This window comes from Homo sapiens, chromosome 6 (genome assembly GCF_000001405.40).
Source record: "Homo sapiens chromosome 6, GRCh38.p14 Primary Assembly".
In the NCBI taxonomy this organism is placed as follows: Eukaryota; Metazoa; Chordata; class Mammalia; order Primates; family Hominidae; genus Homo; species Homo sapiens.
The window spans coordinates 137,758,528-137,777,232 of record NC_000006.12 but is presented as its reverse complement, the minus strand read 5'-3'; the positions used below and the strand labels follow the sequence as shown (position 1 = coordinate 137,777,232).

The 18,705-nt window shown below is 41.8% G+C and overlaps 1 annotated feature.

The window, feature by feature from the left end:
- Positions 9,049–9,178: an enhancer, noted in NCBI's record as "active region_25145". NCBI's record gives its function as "activates an Ori minimal core promoter by ATAC-STARR-seq in GM12878 lymphoblastoid cells {active_cell/tissue: GM12878}" and the evidence as "EXISTENCE:reporter gene assay evidence [ECO:0000049][PMID:35858748]".

The following is an 18,705-nucleotide window of genomic DNA, read 5'->3' as shown; positions in this document are numbered from 1 at the left end:
GTAATCTTATATCTAGAACACATGGAAGAACACACACAAATGCTTCCTCACTGTTCAGAGGGGGGCCGCAGAATGCGGATACAGAACACCCATGAATTGAGTTGCAGATATTTATTATGCTATGAACATAATACGTTAAAGAACAGAGGAGCTTTTCATTTTAATACAAAGAAGCAGAACGGAGACAGGGGTTTTGCTAATCCTCAAATGAAACAACAGAACGTTTCCAGAGTGACGTACCAGCACGGCCCTGGTGGCCAAAGGGAACTCCCGTTTGTTGTTTATATGCTGTTCTGGGCTATGTCCTTTGCAGTTAATCCCTCATTTAGTCTCCATGAGACATTTCACATTGCCAGCATTGCATAAATATTTGTTTAATGATGACGGATATGAATGTAAATCTTCGGCTCCCAAATAGAAATTTCACTGGGGCTCTTTTAGTCCTATAGAAATTACTTAATGAAAGTTTTTTAGTCCTGTGGAAATCATAAGGTAAAAATAAGAATGAAGAAAGTTTCTTTTTTTTTTTTAAAGACAGGGTCTCGATCTGTCACCCATGCTGGAGTGCAGTGGTGCCATCTCAGCTCTCTGCAGCCTCGACCTCCTGGGCTCAAGTGATCCTCTCACCTCACCTCTGAATACCTGGGACTACAGGCACATGCCTGACTAATTTTTGTGTTTTTTGTAGAGACGAGGTTTAGTCATGTTGCCCAGGCTGGTCTTGAACTCCCGGGCTCAAGCAATGAGCCCACCTCGGCCTCCCAAAGTGCTGGGGTTATAGGCATGAGCCACAGTGCCTGGCCGGAAGCCTCCTTTTAACACCCTTCTCCAGTGATCTTCTCTTCTCTACTTCTTGTCCCCGAAGAGCCTCTCCTTAGGATGGAGAGAAAGAAAGAGGCAACAAGAAAGGGTTGGTCTCCTCGCTGTCGTTGGAGCTGGTTCTTCATTGTCCCAAGAGGTAACCGGAAACATAGAAGCTCCGAGACTGTTTTATTCGTCCTCTCCCACTCAATAGGATGGTCTTTTAGTCTCAGCTCGAACAGTACAGTAAAAGGACCTCAGCATCTCCTGGAATACCCTATTCAACTTTTGAAACAAAAATGTTAAGAAAGTTATTTCACATGTTGAATTAAATATCTGTCTCTTTTTAATTTCTATCCACTGGCTTTGAACTTCTGGAGGGCTTTCTAGCCCCTTTCTCTCTCCAGCCCTTACCATTGGCCTGGAAGAGAGCCATCTTTGTAGAACAATGGAAAGCTGGAAAGGGTCCAGGTTATGCACAAACTGGGAAGTTGACATGCTGTACTGGTCAGAAACATGATGCTTAGAACAAAAAGAATAATAGGGGCCGGGCACAAGTGGCTCATGCCTGTAATCTCAGCACTTTGGGAGGCCGAGGCGGCAGATCACCTGAGGTCAGGAGTTTGAGACCAGCCTGGCCAACATGGCGACACCCAGTCTCTATGAAAAATACCAAAATTAGCTTGACGTGGTGGTGTGTGCCTGTAACCTCAGCTACTCCGGAGGCTGAGGCAGGAGAATCAATTGCTTCCATCCAGGAAGGTGGAGGTTGCAGTGAGCCGAGATCACGGCATTGCACTCCAGCCTGGGTGACAGAGTGAGACTCTGTCTCAAAAAGAAAAAAAAAAAAAGAATAATAGGAACAGATCCTAGGGGAGGCTGGCAACTTTGGGTTTGAACACGTAAGTAATCCCAGTTACAAATCACAAACTAGAAAATTCCAGTAGGCAATCTGAAGTCAAGAAGGAAGTGGTAAGAACTAAGAATAAATGAAATCATTCATGATGAGTGCACACTTTAAGAAGAGAAAAATGAGGTCATTATAGCCCAAAGCAGTTATGTTAATGAGATTACAAACAAGTTAACAGCATTATGACTCGAATATTAGTTTTATAGTAAGATAGAGAATAATAATATGCCAGTAAACCAATCAGAAAGAATAAAAATAGTAAAGTTTACATAAATGACTAATGAGGAAATAAGATATAAATATTAAGTGGGAGGAAAAGAGTGTTATTGGCAATTGGGCTGAACCTGAGACCTAGCTACATGGTAGATGTGGTGGACTACAGGAATTCGCACCTAATAATTGATCATTATTTGTCAAATGAATCCCTAATTATTGCATCAACTTTATGAGGTGGTGGAAATTAACATCCCCATATTTCACAGATGTTAATAATTTGCCTACAGAGAGTGAGCAAGCCAATAAGTTTGAATTTCTTTGACTCTAGCACTTTGCTGCTTCCCCAAGATGACACACTATTTCCCTGGATTGGAAGACAGAGCTTTCTGGGCCAGCCAGGGTGGCTTATGCCTGTAATACCAGCACTTTGGGAGGCCAAGGCAGGTAGATCACCTGAGGCCAGGAGTTCAACACCAGCCTAGCCAACATAGTGAAACCCTGTCTCCACTAAAAATACAAAAAATTAGTTGGGCGTGGTGTCTTGTGCCTGTAGTCCCAGCTACTCAGGAGGCTAGGACAGGAGAAAAGCTTAAACTTGGGAGGCAGAGGTTGCAGTGAGCTGAGATCATGCCACTGCACTCCAGCCTGGGTGACAGAACAAGACTCCGTCTCAAAATAAAAATAATTTTAAAAAAAGACAGAGCTCTCTGAAAGGGTGTCAGTTGATGGGACTTAGGAACTTTCTGCTAATTTTTAATAATATTAGCCCAATTGCATGACCTGTTATGACTAATTGGAAGATTGGATAGATAGATGGATGGATGAAAGGATGGATGGATGGAATAGAATCACAAACAAGGAGGCCTTCAATAGTCAAAGAATGAAAGTATGGATCTAATCATCATTACCTGTCACTCGGATCGCCCTTGGGCCTGGCCCACAAGAACTTAAGTTTGGGTCCTAGGGAGAGGGGCTCCAAACAGAATCTAAAGGACAGTTCTCTAAGATGAGAGCATGGCACTGGGTCTCCTCATATAAATGGTGTTGGCACTCAGCAGGGAGAGAGGTATTCTCTTCACTTCATCAAAGTCCAGACTCTGGCAGCACTGGCTTTGAGGGCCCTGCATGCAAATGCTTCAGGTTCTCAGAGCCTTTGGCTCAGTGAGTCACCTTCAGTTCTGCAGAGCACTGATGAGGAATAACTCAGATGAACATTAATGGCAGATGGTAGTAATATCTTGGAAGCTGACTTCATAGAGAATTGCAAAATGTACATGTTACTTCTTGTTTTTTTTTCTTTTTTTTTTTGAGACAGAGTGTCGCTCTGTCGCCAGGCTGGAGTGCAGTGGTGCAATCTCAGCTCACTGCAGCCTCCGCCTCCCAGATTCAAGCAATTCTTCTGCCTCAGCCTCCCAAGTAGCTGGGACTACAGGTTTGCGCCATCACGCCCGGCTAATTTTTGTATTTTTAGTAGAGAAGGGGGTTTCACCATGTTGGCCAGGATGGTCTCAATCTCTTGACCTCATGATCCACCCACCTATGTGTTACTTCTAAAATATGCAAAGAAAATTTAACTTCACTTTTTTGTTTTTTTTTGAAATGAGATCTCACTATGTTGCCAAACTGGTCTCAAACTCCTGGACTCTAGCAATCCTCCTGCCTCAGCCTCCCGAGTAGCTGGGATTACAGGCATGTGCCACCAGGCCCAGCTTTAATGTCAATTTCTATAACTGATTTGGACTTTTGCAAGAATCCTCATTTTTTGGTAGCAACTATCAGGAAAAAATTGTGAGAGATTTTGAGCAAAAATGTTACTATCCCATCTAGTACACCCTTCTTGGTTAACTCTCCCCTTATTGCCTTTGAGCTATTTTAAAACTCTGTAAGTTGTAGAATACTGAGAGTAATGCAGATGGATCTTGCCAGTGTGTCTGGTGGAGATGAGTTAATAATTGCCTTGTGGATATTGGCCAATTCTCAAAATTAATTTCAATCTTCTGGATGGCCTGTATGTGTGTGTGTGTGAATCCTCCTTTGAACTGGTTTTAACGTCTTACTGGCTTCCTTATAACTTGAAATAAAATCTTTAACAGATGAGAGTCATAGTTTTGACCCTTAAAAATACATCCTTCAACACAAGAGAAAACTAACTTTAAGCCTGACGATATGTGACCTCACCATTTCATCAGGCTTCATCTATTTCAAATAATGACTTGCTCTTTTTTTGTTTCCTGCTGCACCTCCCACTGCAACTTTCCAAGGGGGCATCTTGATGTGAGGGGGAAGAGGTTCATGTGACTTGCTGTGGTGGAGGAGACAAGACCTGAGAATCACATGGTGCCTGTGTGGTCATTTGGTCATCACTCTAGAACTACTGCCTGACAGGAGACTGTGGGCCTGGGGAGTATACTATGTCTTCTTTTTCACCCCAAGTCTTGGTGCCGCTCAATATGGTACATGCAAACCACTAGTTACAGTGCATGGTCTGTGTAGACCATGGGAAACCTGGAATGCTCCCTCACGTGCAGCTATTTAGCCACTGCCCTCCCCCAATGCGGGTCTGTGGCTCCTTCTCCACGCTGACGTGGCTGCATCCCAGAGGTGCTGTTAGGCCCGGAATGCTCTTGATCTTTCCTATACCCATATGGACATTTCTGCCATTAAAGTGATAGCTTATAAGTCTGAACCTTCTGCCCAATCTTTTTCTTTTTTTTCCCTTCCCATCATCCACCAAGACCAGATTGGCACTTTCACTTCCAATCTTAGGGATCCTTCTTCTACAGCATACATGGTGCCCTTCTGAAGTGTCACGCACTCTCTCTCTTCTTTCCCTTTGGATTATAATGGCACAATGGATCTTGGGGAACACCATATATGGAGAAAGGACATGGAAAGCCCATTGATGTAATGGCTTCAAGACATTTTCACTATTATATAGAGTATTGGAGGTCTTGAAAGTAGAAATCCTCACAGAGAGTCAGAGCCAGTGAAAGAGAGAGAAATTGTGGAAACCAGAAAATAGTGGAGAAGGCTGTTTAAACAAGGACAGCTAAGACAATTCCTGGGACACTCCTTGTGAGTTTGAATGGTGCAAAATCTTTATGAATGCATCTTTTGCATTAAAGACAATCATTTTCAACGATCATCAAGAAAGTCTATTTATTCGGGCATTTTATACTTCTAAAAACCCATATTGGCCCCTAGGGATAAATGCATTTTAACAAATTTACTCCCAAACCACATGCTTACTAGTAAGTTTAAGAAATTTGTCAAAAACAAATATTAGGTCAGTATTCGGTGGAATGCAATTTCTACTTGTCCTCATAAAAAAGGAACATTTTACCATTTCAGTCTTCGTGAACTTTTTCTGTTGCTCCAAGTACCAGAAAATGAATGATTACCTGGATGCTCCAAAGACAAATAATATTCTAAAAATGTATGAATAAATAACTCTATTTTCATAAAGTTCAGAGTCTTCAGATGAAGTATGAATGTGCTGGAAGGCTCTTGAGTATCTGGAAACAGTCTTTTCCTTTTTCTCTCAAAGGAGATAGGCATCGTGTCTCCCTGATAGGAGCTATTGGCTCTAGGCAGTAACTATAACAATACTTAGACAATTCTAATTCTAATATAACAATGTTAGACAATTCTGATAACAGGTACAGGTTAAGCAGCTGTTTATAGAATTTCCTGGTAAAAACTAGTGATGAAAATGGCATTGTATAATTGAAACAATAAATGCCTCTTCAATGTAGCATGATCAGTATTAACCCACACATGATTTCCTGTCAGGTATATGACATTATAAACTAAACATTTACACACACACACACACACACACACACACACACGTACTTAGTTGTCCTGGAAATAAATGTTTGGCATGTTCTTCATGTAGAATGTATGTGTTGGACTCATTCTCAAAGGAAGTCATTGGCTAATGAGTCTTACCTTTAGTGGCAAAGAAAGAGACATGAATACTAGTTCCTCCCCGGCTTATGCTGCACCAACACCAGTTCAGATTTCTCCATATGAAAACATTAATTCTAAAATCTTTCTTGTTTGAAGTCATGGAATATCTGTTATCCTCTAATATGTATGAGGATTCATTCTGAGCCAAACACTAGGAATATAAAGAAGGTAAAGAGGGAGTCTCTGTATTCCAGGAGAATGCACTCAGGTTAGATAATGGCTTACTCTACTGGAATTCAGATCATTGCATATGTCAGTTCCTTGACCCCAGGTCTCTACTACACCAAGCGCAAAACAGTCTCAGCCCTGGGGGGTCTCATACATGCCTGCTTTTTGGAAGCTATGGTGGGGTTGTCAATGTTTTGTGCTCATGATAAATTGCTTTCTTTTTGAGACACATACTAAATTATGTTGAAGTCTCAGTCTTTATAGCTCACTGCCATGTGTGACAGAGATGGCTACCTCTAGTTGTTGGCTCCTTGTAAAGCAATTTGTTTATAAATCAAAATTTAAAATTCAAGAAACACTAAATTTGAACTCATATGAGAATGCTAAAAATTGCTGTCCTTATTTTCAAGAACATTGTTCGCTTAAAGTTTATCTTCATCACACCATGGATCTATGGTGATTACAGGGACAATAGTGTTGGGGATGGTGACAGTGATACATCATTTGGCTGTTGGTGAGCTTGTGCCAAGGACTAAATATTTGTGTCTCATCCCCTTGCCCTAATTAATATATTGAAGCCCTAATCACCAATGTGGTGGTTTGGCCTTTAGGAAGTAATTAGCCCATGAGGGTGGAGCCCTCATGACCACATGAATGGGATTTGTGACTTTATAAGAAGAGACTAAAGAAAAACTTTCTCTCAGTCAGGTGAGGATACAGCAAGAAGGCAGCAATCTGCAAGAGCAAGAGAGCCTTCTCCAGGGACCAAATTAGCATCTTGAGCTTGGACTTCCCAGAACAATTCTGGAGGCTGGGAAGTCCAAAATCAAGATGCCAGATAATTGTTGTTGTTTAAGCTGCCCAGTCTACAGTATTCTGTTATAGCAGCTGTAACTGTCTAAGACAGCGGGGCTCTCAGCAATCTCTCATGAGACCAGTGCCCACTGTGGTTCAATGTGCCTACTCAGGCAGCCTCATGTTGAATCCACAAGGGGGTAGAAATGAAGAGGTGAGGTAAACCCTGGATCTCGATATGCGTTACTGACCATGAGATGTAGGAACTATGTAGTTCCTGACCATAGTTCAGAACTAGCGTTGTTTTAGTTGACTAGTCAACCCAGAAAAAGGTGAACATAGGCTCTGTCATGCCCCAATTTGCATATAAGGAGCACGAATTACAATTTGAAAAGGGACTAAAGAGGTTTCCTTGAAGATTTTTGGTGCTATGATGGGGAGCCTTATGGCCTAGTAGATAGTAAGCCAGTTCGTCATAATATCAGCTAGCATTTATTGGGTGTTTACCATATGCCAGGCTCTGTGCTGAGGACTTTACATGCATTAAACCATCTAATCCTCATAACAACCTTCTGGGGGAGGTACTATTATCATCATTTTTACATATGAGACCATTGAGGTACAAATAAATTTACTTGTCCAAGGTGCAGAGTTAGAGGTAGTGCCAATATTAGAATGCCAACAGTGTGTGCTCTTAATCACCATCCCACATCCCTTCATTAAGTGAAGCCCAATTATATAATGCACACAGCAGTACAATGCTATAGGCACTACCACAGCCCCATTTCTACATGGTGGGAAATGTGAGTAAAATAAGGGACTGTCACTAGCCTCAGTGTGGGTCGAGGGATACATTGCAGAGTTTGAACACAGGTATACCAGACTCCAGAACCTGCTTCCTTCTCATTAGCACAACACAATGGCTCTGTTCCTCATTCTGAGATGTCTTAGGAACTTGGAAGTGTTGGTCATCCTGATCATAAAACTATTGCCTTCCTATTCCCTGCTTAGAAAGTTGATAACGTGTTTGGGATCAGATGCTCTCCTTTGACACTCCCTCCACTGTTCTCTCTACACAACCCTGTATTCACTTGTTTTTGCCTTTCCATTCTTCCTTGTAGCTCTTGGCTTATTAAGTCTCATGCTGTGGGCACCTAACAGGGCCTGGCACAGAGCTTGCGCTGGTACATGATTGGTGACCTAAGAAGTTATTACACAATGGATTATGTGTTATCCCCCCAGGTAGCTTTGCATCAACAGTGGTCATGATGCAATAGAGGAGAGACTAAGATGAGACTTCTAGGCAAAACTGTAGCCCCTGGGGGCATCTGTGATCCTTCCCTACAATAGAGAATAGTTCTGGAGAAGAACAGAAAGTCTCACTATTGGAATGTAGGGCTAGTGTGCTTGTGCAAACAGAAGGGGTCTAATAGGTGCTTGAGGTTCCCCAAGATGATGCTGGCAAAGCAGGTTACTAGGGCAGAGCTGTTGGCTGCATTCTTCTGCCCTCTGTTTCCCCCAGCACACTCCAATCCTAGTTCTTTTGAAGAAAAATCACAGGATAAGAAGCCAAGAAGGGAAAGCCTATCCTATTCACCACGTATTAGCTGTGTGAGTTTAGAAGTCACTTTGCCTCCCTAGGTGGTCATTTTGTGACCTGTAAAGTAGGAATTATAATAATATATGGCCTGACTACTGCTTAGGTTTTGTAGATCAAAAAAGATTGTGAAAATGAAAGTCCTTTGTGAACCAAAGCACACTGCTTGTCTAAAGTATTATCTTCATCTGCACACTTGGTCTTCCTGGGGTGATTTATGTTTATGGTTTCTTTGATATGTCTCGGGAAAGTCCTGGCAGTCCTGACACTCAGGTGTCGTTTACTTGTCTCTGTGTTTTAAGACATGCCTGGAGATTCTCCTTATAAAATGTTCTCTTTCCGGGGCTTCCATTTTTTCAGCATCTATAAAATGAATGTATAATGTGTCTTACAGCCAGTAAGTAAAAACCACATCCCTTTATCTTTGTTCTGAGAGGGAGGTCAAATTACAGGTTCTGTGAGAAAGGAACATCTTGGTTCCTCTTCTTGCTGAGACTAAGTCTTAGATTGCTAAATCATTCCCAGAGATGCACGTTGGGGCTAACCAAAGGGTCACCCCAGAAGCTTATGTGCAAAGGCAAATGAATCCATTGTAGTTTAGTGATTTCTGAGTAGAATAGCAGTTCCTTTGCAACAGCAAAGGAAGTCATGAGAAGAAAGGGCCAAGATATACCAAAGAGGGCTGGAGAAATGGCAGGAAGCAAGAAAGACAGCAAGGGGAACATTGATGGAAGAAGAAAGGAATTTTGGTGGTGACTCAGTTCTTTCCAATCTGGGGCCCCAAGAGCATTAAGTGGTTGAGAAGCAAGGTCAGCTGCTCGGGTCCTGATCTTCCCACTCCTAATTCCCATTAGTAAGGACTTCCCTCTCACTGATTTTTCTTCCTTTAGATTTCATGTTTTCAGTGATGTAAAAAGAATAGTTGTTTTGTTTGCAATAGCCAATGAGGTGAGAGGCAAATATGGGGACAACTTTTCCTCTACCCTCTAGGTTCAGTGACTGAGGCCTGCAAATTAAACTGACAAAAGACAGATTAATAGAAGAATATTTCATATATACACAGGAGCTTTACAGAAAATAAGTGAAAAACCTAAAAAAATGGTTAGGCCTAGAGGCTTATATCCCATTTTAACAAAGGATGATAAATCCTAGAAAAATGACTAGACAAAGGAAAAGGAATTTGAGCTTCTGATGGGAAGGTAAATATTTGGGGGAAACTAACGGTAGATAAGAACAATTTTATAAGGCTTGTTATGCAGACTCGAGTTGGTACACCTCCAGTGACAAGAGTTGTCTCTCTGGTCATTAAGAGTCATTCTCCTTTTCCTGGTACAGCAGAGGAGGACACCTTTACAAATGGAAATTTCTGTTTCCTTTGCAAGGGAAAATGTATGGCCTCCTTTAAAAAAAAAAGTCTTCTTCATAAGCAAAGGCACCCTTGCTTCAATTCAAGTCTCGGTATCTTCCCTGGACTATACAGGATGACGCAGGGCACAGGGTGGACTCATGCTATGTCTTCCTAGTTTTGGGTTCTATGTGTAAAAAGGTGGTGAGAAGGATGCTAATCTAGCCAGAAAATGCAAGCCTCGCCAGCTATCTGCTTGAAATGCTCTGTTATCTGCTTGAAATGCTCTGTTATCTGCCCTAGTCCACAGAACCCTGAGATCAAACTGTGCTTGGTCTGCTAGCCCTCCTTAGCCCTAGAATTGGAATGAAGTGTTGCATCCTAAAGACAGTCTAAACACCTAAAAGAAAAAAAAAATCACAGAATCTTTTGGAATTATCAGAGGATTTAGGGAGATCTAACCTAACCACTCCTCTCTCCCTCCACAAAAGGAGACTGAGTTTCAGAGACAAGACTATCATGTAAGGTTGAGCAGATTGTCTACTGCCCAATTCTAGGGGAGATCAGTTGCACTGTTGTCATTAGAGACTTTTTTTCTCCCACTGAATGTGATAAAGTGTCTTGAGCAATGTACATATTTTCCTAGTGTGTATGAGGGCCCTGTACCGACTAGCAAGTGTTTTACTCTGAGGGGATCAGAGGGAGGTATACCGACTCATTCAAGAAATAAAAAGAACAGAAAATTTTTCATCCACTGCCATTCTTCTTAGTAGGTTAAAGTCATTCCAACTACAGCACAGTTATGGAGCATTGTTTATGTAGGTACAGTTATCACTCCTTTAGAAAAAATTTTCTAAAGGATGCACAGTCAGTAAGTGACACATCTAGAATTTGAACCCAGGTGGTCTGGCTCTGGGCTCTGGTACCTACAGTTTTAATCACCTCAATTATCCAAGACTGTACCTTCATTTTAGAACCAACATTATTAGTCTAGAGAAGTTTCTGGTGGAATAAGTTGAGGAAAATTAGACAATTAGCTATGACTTCTGCCTTACTCTACGGTATCCAGCAAAGAGAGTAAAATGAGGAGGTATCTCACAGTTGAGTCCTTTATCCCCATCCTCTTATTGTTAGCTCCAAACTTGGACTTGATTTTCATGTACTGTATCTCATAGGTGTGGCCAGAGCATCAGGGAATATAGGTGGTTTTTCCATTATATTGAGTTTGCTTATAATAATGGACATAATAATAAGTTACATTTGAATAATTGTTTACAATTTTAAAAGTACTTTCACATTTATTTCCTCATTTGAGCTTCACAACAACTTAGGTAAGGAAAATATAATTATCCTATTATTATTACTATTATTATTGTTATTATTTTGAGACAGAGTCTTGCTCTGTCACCCAGGCTGGAGTGCAATGGCACAATATCGGCTCACTGCAACCTCCACCTCCTGGGTTCAAGCAATTCTCCTGTCTCAGCCTCCCAAGTAGCTGGGACTATAGGTGCATGCCACCATGCCCAGCTAATTTTTGCACTTTTAGTAGAGGTGGGGTTTTGCCATGTAGGCCCGGCTGGTCTCGAATTCCTTACCTCAGGTGATCTGCCTGTCTTGGCCTCCCAAAGTGCTGGGATTATAGGCATGGGCCACCGTGCCCAGCCCTATCCTATTATTATTTTACAAATAGAAAACTGAAGTTTAGGGAATTTCCAAAGGGAGAGAGGTATAGATTGTTCTCAACCCAAGTGTCTTGATTCTTAATTTTATGTTCTTTATACTATATTCTGTGCGGATATCTATATAGATGTATGCATGTGTGTTCAACTATATAAATATTTTAAATCTTATTTTCATCGAAAAATATTATTTTAAAATGCACTTTGGACACAGTGTGGATTTCCATGTGAGCTTTGTCATGTTTTCTGGGGGAAAAATGGGTCCAATCTGTGGGGATTTATTGGTGACACAGCTTTGGGAAGACTTGGCCTTCTTGCTACCAGGGCTCTCTGGGAAGTGAATTTTCCCACCCTGTTTCTTTATTTTATGTGCTTATATGATCAGTTCCCAAAACTTTAAGACTCATTTATTTTCTGCCCTTGGTGGGACCTTTGTGAAATTTCCCCATTAAGGAATTTCAAGTTAGTCACTACCCTTTGCTTTGACTTTGGAGATTTCTTATACACCATCTCAGCTGCACAAAAAGAAATTCCCACAGAGGAAGCCCACGGTTGGACGGAAGACAAACACCTGCAATACCAACTCACTTGAGTGACTAAGCCCATCAAGGTGTGTTTAAGTGTAATCTTTGAACAGGAACTTGAAATTCTGTGTAGACTTCCAAATCTCTGTGCTTTTTCTGGACACCCCCTCCAATTTTCTATAGTCATTTTCCTTAAGGAGCTGGAAGACAACATTAAAAAGCATCAGTCTTATTAAGAAAAGCAAATTTTACAGCCTTCCCAGTTAGAATTGTTTGGATCATTAACCAATCTCCTTTCTCATTTCCCTCAATTATGGAATGCTCCTATCTACTTTTTGACTCATATCCATCAACACATCACTGAAAAAACACAAAAATTCCAGGAGCCATGTAATCCTCTAGTAACTTCACTTCTTCTCAAAGGCTTAATGGGATTGGGGCTCATTGATAGTCTAGTGGAAGGCATCCAAAGAAACTCCCAAAGCATTGAGGAAATGCTATGTTAGTGACTCAAAAACCATACTAGTTTAGCTTTATTCAAGTGTTTCAAGTTTGAAATGATTTATACTTGATCTACTCATCATGAAATAACATACTTCTTCTCTGACACATGATGCCTCTTTGTGATCCAAGATAAGTTACTTAAGCTCTCTCCCTCTAATTTCCTAAGTTGCAAAAGGCACAGGGCTAGGTATGAGGAACTGATTACCTGATAAGGAAAGTGACTGAGTTCTTATTTATAACATATCCTGAAGATCAAAACTACATATACATAGCATAATTAGTAATACTTCGTAGTGCTTGCCAGAACCTATAGAATGAATGGCCATGAATGAATCAATGGCCTGGGCATTATATTCAGTAGACTAGATCTCAGAAAGGAAAAAGGAGCAGCATAAAATACAGCCTTGGTCCAACATTTTGACCACAGAGCAAAGTTAAAGAGGACCAGAGGAAACATCTCCTTCAGTGGTGGAAGTAGTTTCCGCAGACAAAAGATAGCCAAAAGTATGGCATGCTGGGGACATGAGAGACATTTTAAAGGTCTCTGAGACTTGATCAATGACCACTTTCTTGGAGAGCCCCACATGGTGTAATTTATGCAAATCCTGTGAAGTGGAGTCATCTATCTGCTCAGACATGCAGAAATCTTTCAGGAGAAGGGTGAGAGATTTTTGGAAGAAAAGAAGTACAGTGGCCAGGAAAGGAATTACCTTAAGAAGGTAATATGTTGATGGGAGGAGCAGATGCCCTGGAGTAAAACTGTTTTCCAGAAGTTTCTTGTCCTAGTGTCCAACTGGATAATGATGAGCAATCCTTGAACTCCATCATGTGCCTCATGGAATAGAGTGTATTGTAAAAATGCAGCTCAGCAAACGTCTCTCTTCAAAAAGTGGCTTTAAAACCTAGGACATATTTAGCCTACTCAGGGAAAAGAAACAAAATAAAGCATTCTATAGCAGCCTTATGACCCATTGCTAAAGGAACCCAAATCCACCAGCACAAGACACAGGAGTCATTATGAGGCAAACAGCAGTTAACCTGTGAGCTCTGAAGTCCTCCAGAGGCTGTGTGTGCGCAGTTGCCATGGGCTGTGGATGACCCAGGGTGTTGTGTGCCTGTTCATTGCTCAACCTCTCATCCTACATCTCATCAGTAATGGAATAAGTAGGTGAGTGCACTCATCTAAGTTTGCCTTTTGCAAGGGTCCAATTTTGTCCTCATCTTTTAGAGTAGAAATGAGAAATATTCTCTATTCTACTGGGGATCACTGGAGCACACACACACACACAGAGCAAGTGAAGGAAGACTTCAAGTAAAGTATGTTATAGATTCATTATGTTTCCAAGAGATTTTGTGTGGAAAAGAATATTTGCTACCACTTGTACTTTGTTTAAAAGTCTAATTTAGTAATCTTATGAATTTATTTAAAAATCGTTTTAAAAACAACCTTCCTTTAAAAATTCACATACTTCTTGTCTAAATAATACATCAAAAACATAATTCCCTAAATGTGCATACATCAATTATAAATGTAAAAACATTTAAATAGAAAATTAAATCACAAATCAAGTATATCAGAGTTTCTTAGGCATTCTCTGTAGGAAGCTGATGTGTGGCCACTGAAAGATACCAGATCCTAATCCCTAGGATCTGTAAATTTTACCTAATGAGGAAAAAGGGTCTTTGCTGATGTGATTAAGGATCTGGACTTGGGGGATTACCCTGGATTATCTGAGTGGACCTTAATTCCAATTACAAGTGTCCTTATAGGAGGAGACAGAGGGAGATTAGATGGACACACAGAAGATGAGGAGGCCACGTGACCACAGGGGCAGAGTTCAGAGGGATGAGGCCACAAGTCAAGGAATGCCATTGTCACTAGAAAGGGATGAATTCTTTCCTAGAGCTTTTGGAGGCAGCACAACCTTGATTTCAGACTCTTTTCTTCTCCAGAACTATGAGAGAATAAATTTCTGTTGTCTTAAGCTACCAAGTTTGTGGTAATTGTTACAGCAGACACAGGAAACTAATAAACTCTCTAATACCTTAAGCAGCAACCAAAACAACATAAAATGTCACTATGGTTACAAAACTGTTTAAATGTCTTCACACCATTTCTGGTTTAAAAAGTGTGATGGGCCAGGCATGGTGGCTCAAGCCTGTAATCCCAGCACTTTGGGAGGCTGAGGCAGGAGGATCACTGGAGCCCAGGACTTCAAGACTAGCCTGAGCAACATAGTGAGACCCCATCTCTACAAAAAAAAATTTTTTTAAATGTGTTGGATTTGACTTTGTCTCTTAATCTTCTTCTTTAGGCTGGAGTGCAGTGGCATGATCATGGCTCAGTGCAGCCTAGACCTCCCAAGCTCAAGAGATGCTCCCACCTCAGCCTCTTGAGTAGCTAGGACCACAGACATGTGCCACCACACCTGGCTAACTTGTTATTTTTTTCTGCAGACAGGGTCTCACCATGTTTCCCAGGCTGGTCTCAAACTCCTGGGTTCAAGCAATCTACCTGCCTGGGTCTCCCAAAGTGCTGGGATTACAGGTGTGAGCCACTGTGCTTGGCCTGTTTCTTAATCATATTTTCTATTTTCCTGGGTTTTAATAAATCTCCTTCCTAAGATTTTAGTAATTGTACCATCCCATGTATAAAATACTTTCCAATCAGGACGTAAGTTTGCACATTCTGCATTTGTTGACCAGTTAACTCAGTTGGGCCCTGAGGTCTGGTTGCCCACGCTAAGGTGATGCAAACATGAGCTGCTGATCATAGGCTAAGGTCCTTCTGTAATCATCTTCTCTGGTTTTCTCATAGGATTTTTAACTGCCTTTCCTATTGACTTTATGTTTTTTCAGATTAGGTGTCTTTAAGTTGGTTTGGTCTATAACTATACCACAGTGACACATTCTGTAGCATAATTGTAGCTGCTGGGACTTCCTTATAATTTGTAGAAAAATCTAGAGGATTCAGTTTCTTGGCTGGGCAATTAGCTCTCTAATTAATTTTCTCAAAATGGCCCTGCTGGGACTGCTTTTGTAGTGGTTATTGTACAGGTCCCTTTGCGCTCAGTTCTTTCTACCTAATCATCCCGCTAGAATGTACTCACCACAATTCTGTTCTCATGTTCCTGATTACACAGATTTTTTAAATGTATGTAAGCTCTCTTCCTATAAGCCACTGAAAATGTAAGCATAGTCTATGCATGTGCCACAAGCAAGAGTGGGGGCATTGAGTCTGTTGCTTGAGGCCTTTCTTCTCACTCTGCAGCTTTAGTGTGTTGGCTCTTTGCATTTATTGCTTCATGGATTAAAAATGTTGCAGCTCCAAGCTTCATGCAGGTAGAAGGGTAGAAATGGGCAGCTGCCTGTATATCTACCCTTCAATCAGGAAGCAAATGCTTTCCCAAAATGCCCTCTCTCAACTAAGCCAACTTCCACATACCTCTCATAGGCCAAAAATACATCACGTGACCTCTTGGCTTCAAAAGAGACTGAAAAATGCTTAGAATTTCTAATCTCCACTAGAGTGGGGGAGGCAAAGGAGAAGGGCTGGGAAAGTGTGACTGGTGAGCCCAGCTCCTGGGACCTCATGACTTTTCTCTGTATGTCTGCTGTATACTTCCCTCTCTCCAGGCTTCTTTCTTCTGCGTCACAGTTATAGGACCAAAAATGTCCACCTTAGCTCTATGGAACCCCTAGTCCAGAAGCCTATTTCCCAGATGGTGATCCATGGCCTTCCTGTTTCAGATTCACCAGGGATATGAGTCGAAATACTGATTCCTGAGCTCTAAACCTGCTACACCAGACACATTTTGAAAAGCAAAGATTTTGAAGACCAAAGATCTTTCAGCTCCAATTCTGAAGATACAGTGGTGGAGCATAAAAACTCACAAGGGTCTTAGGTATGCTAAGCTTTGAGAGTTGATGAACCAGAGCCCCTGTGTCCCAATTCCAAATTCCCTGGAAAGGGCTGCTGATTGGCCTGCTTGGGTCCAGTGTGTAGAACACCCTCAGTCCATTCAACTGAGGATGTTGTTGGAAGGCGGTGGGCTCAGACCTCATGGCCATTGCCTTCTAATCAAGGATTTTTGGAGTAGGCAAATCTGCTAACTTTTCTGCTACAGTGCTTACAATTCCCAAGGCAGGTAATTTCATACTTCACAGCTGCACCCTGAGGATCCCAGCTGTCTGCCTCTCCCAGTAAGTTTCTGCTTATGCAACTCAACCATTGCCCTGATCCAGGGCCTTGCCCTCCTCTCTTCTGGTTGGGCCCAACCCAACCATCCCTGTCCATTCCTGGCTTCACTCATTTCCCTCAACTTTGCAATGCTCTGGGGCTTTTGAGTGGTGCACCACAGTGTAGCACATGGAGCAAGTTCAAAATTTATAGTCACAGTCCGATGTGAAAAAAAGTAACATTTTAAATTTTTCTGTAATTGAAATCAGCTCAGCTCCAGTTGTAGAATCCATTTTTACTGATAGTCTAAAGCTTTTAATTTTTCTGTTTTAAGACAACTCTACTTCTGGGCTGGGCACGGTGGCTCATGCCTATACTCCCAGCACTTTGGGAGGTGAAGGCAGGAGGATGGCTTGAGCTCAGGAGTTTGAGACCAGCCTGGGCAACATGGAGAGACCCCGTCTCTACAAAAAATACAAAAATTAGTTGGGCCTGGTGGCTCATGCCTGTTGTCTCAGCTACTTGGGAGGCTGAGGCAGGAGGATCACTTGAACCCAGGATGCAGAGGTTGCAGTGAGCTGAGATCACACCACTGCACTCCAGCCTGTGTGACAGAGGGAGCCTGCCTGGTTCAAAACAACAACAACAACAACAACAACAACAACAACACAAAACAAAAAAGCAGATAACTCTACTTCTGGTTTAAAATGTTGCCTTTTTTAGTAAGGATTCTGTGAAATTCAGAGTTCTCACTTCCTTCTTCCCAAGAGTGACCTTATGATCCAGGGAGCTTAGAAGTAACCTGGGTTCTCATATAGCCTTCTCCCGTTGATGGCCACTGTGTTGTCATGCTCTGGTCCTTGGGGAATTGTGGCTGGCACCCAAAAGGGGTCTCCATCCTGCCTGATCTTTCACATGGTGGGCTGGTAGCTGCTGCTGCTGACCCTAGTCCCTGCCTTGCTCTGATCAACAGTGAAGTCCACATATCTGTGTCCTCCTGCTCTTCTCCCAGACCCCCTGTGACCCACCCACTCCTACACCTCTTCTATTCCTCTCCTTGAGGACTGAAAACTCTCTGTTGCCTATCTTTAGTATTCTGTGATGTACATGGCTCTGCAAGGCTGTGCGAAGGCCTGGTCTGCCTCACCACCTCTCTCAGTCATTGCTCATTCATTTTCGAAGAGCCGTGTTGTTCAAATGCCATTCAAAATAGATGTTTTTCCATGAAACTCTGTTAGAAACTGAATGCTTGTGTCTCCCAAAACTTGTATGTTGAAACCCTACCTTGTAATGTGATAGTATTAGGAGGTGGGGTCTTTGGGAGGTAAGTAGGATTAGATGAGGTCATGAGAATGGAGCCCTTATTAATGGGATTAATGTTCTTAGAATAATCTTAAGATAGCTTGCTTCTTCTCCCCACCATGCGAGGACACCATGAGAAGGCATCGCCTATGAGCCAGGAAGTGGGCCTTTACTAGACACCAAATCTGCTGGCACCTCGATTGTGGTCTTCCCAGCCTCCAGAACTATGGGAAATACATGTTTGTTGTTGAAGCCATCAGTCATGGTATTTCATTATAGCACCTGAGGTTAAAACACTGGCTGTCTTCTTGGGGTCTGCCATGGAAAGTACTATTAAGTAAGGATTTCTGAGTGTCTTTACCACACTCCACCTAAGGTTTGACCACAGGAGGGAACAGATTTTGTCACTAGCTATCTTATTCTTATTAAGCACTCTATTTTATTCTCTCTAAATTTCCTCTTCTTGCTCACTGGGAAATCCTTTCCATTGTGGGTAAGAAGGCAAATATATCAACTGGCACTCTTCACTGTTCTGTAGAGGTTACTGCTCAGTGTCCAATCCACAAAACTTGAATTATAAATCATATAATACAATCTTATTAATCTCAGCTTTTAGAATTCCATGGAATCAATTTAGTTCACAGAACAAAGGCTGGTTCTCACAAATAAACAACCCTTTGGCTTTCAGATTATAGTTTCTACTCTGCAT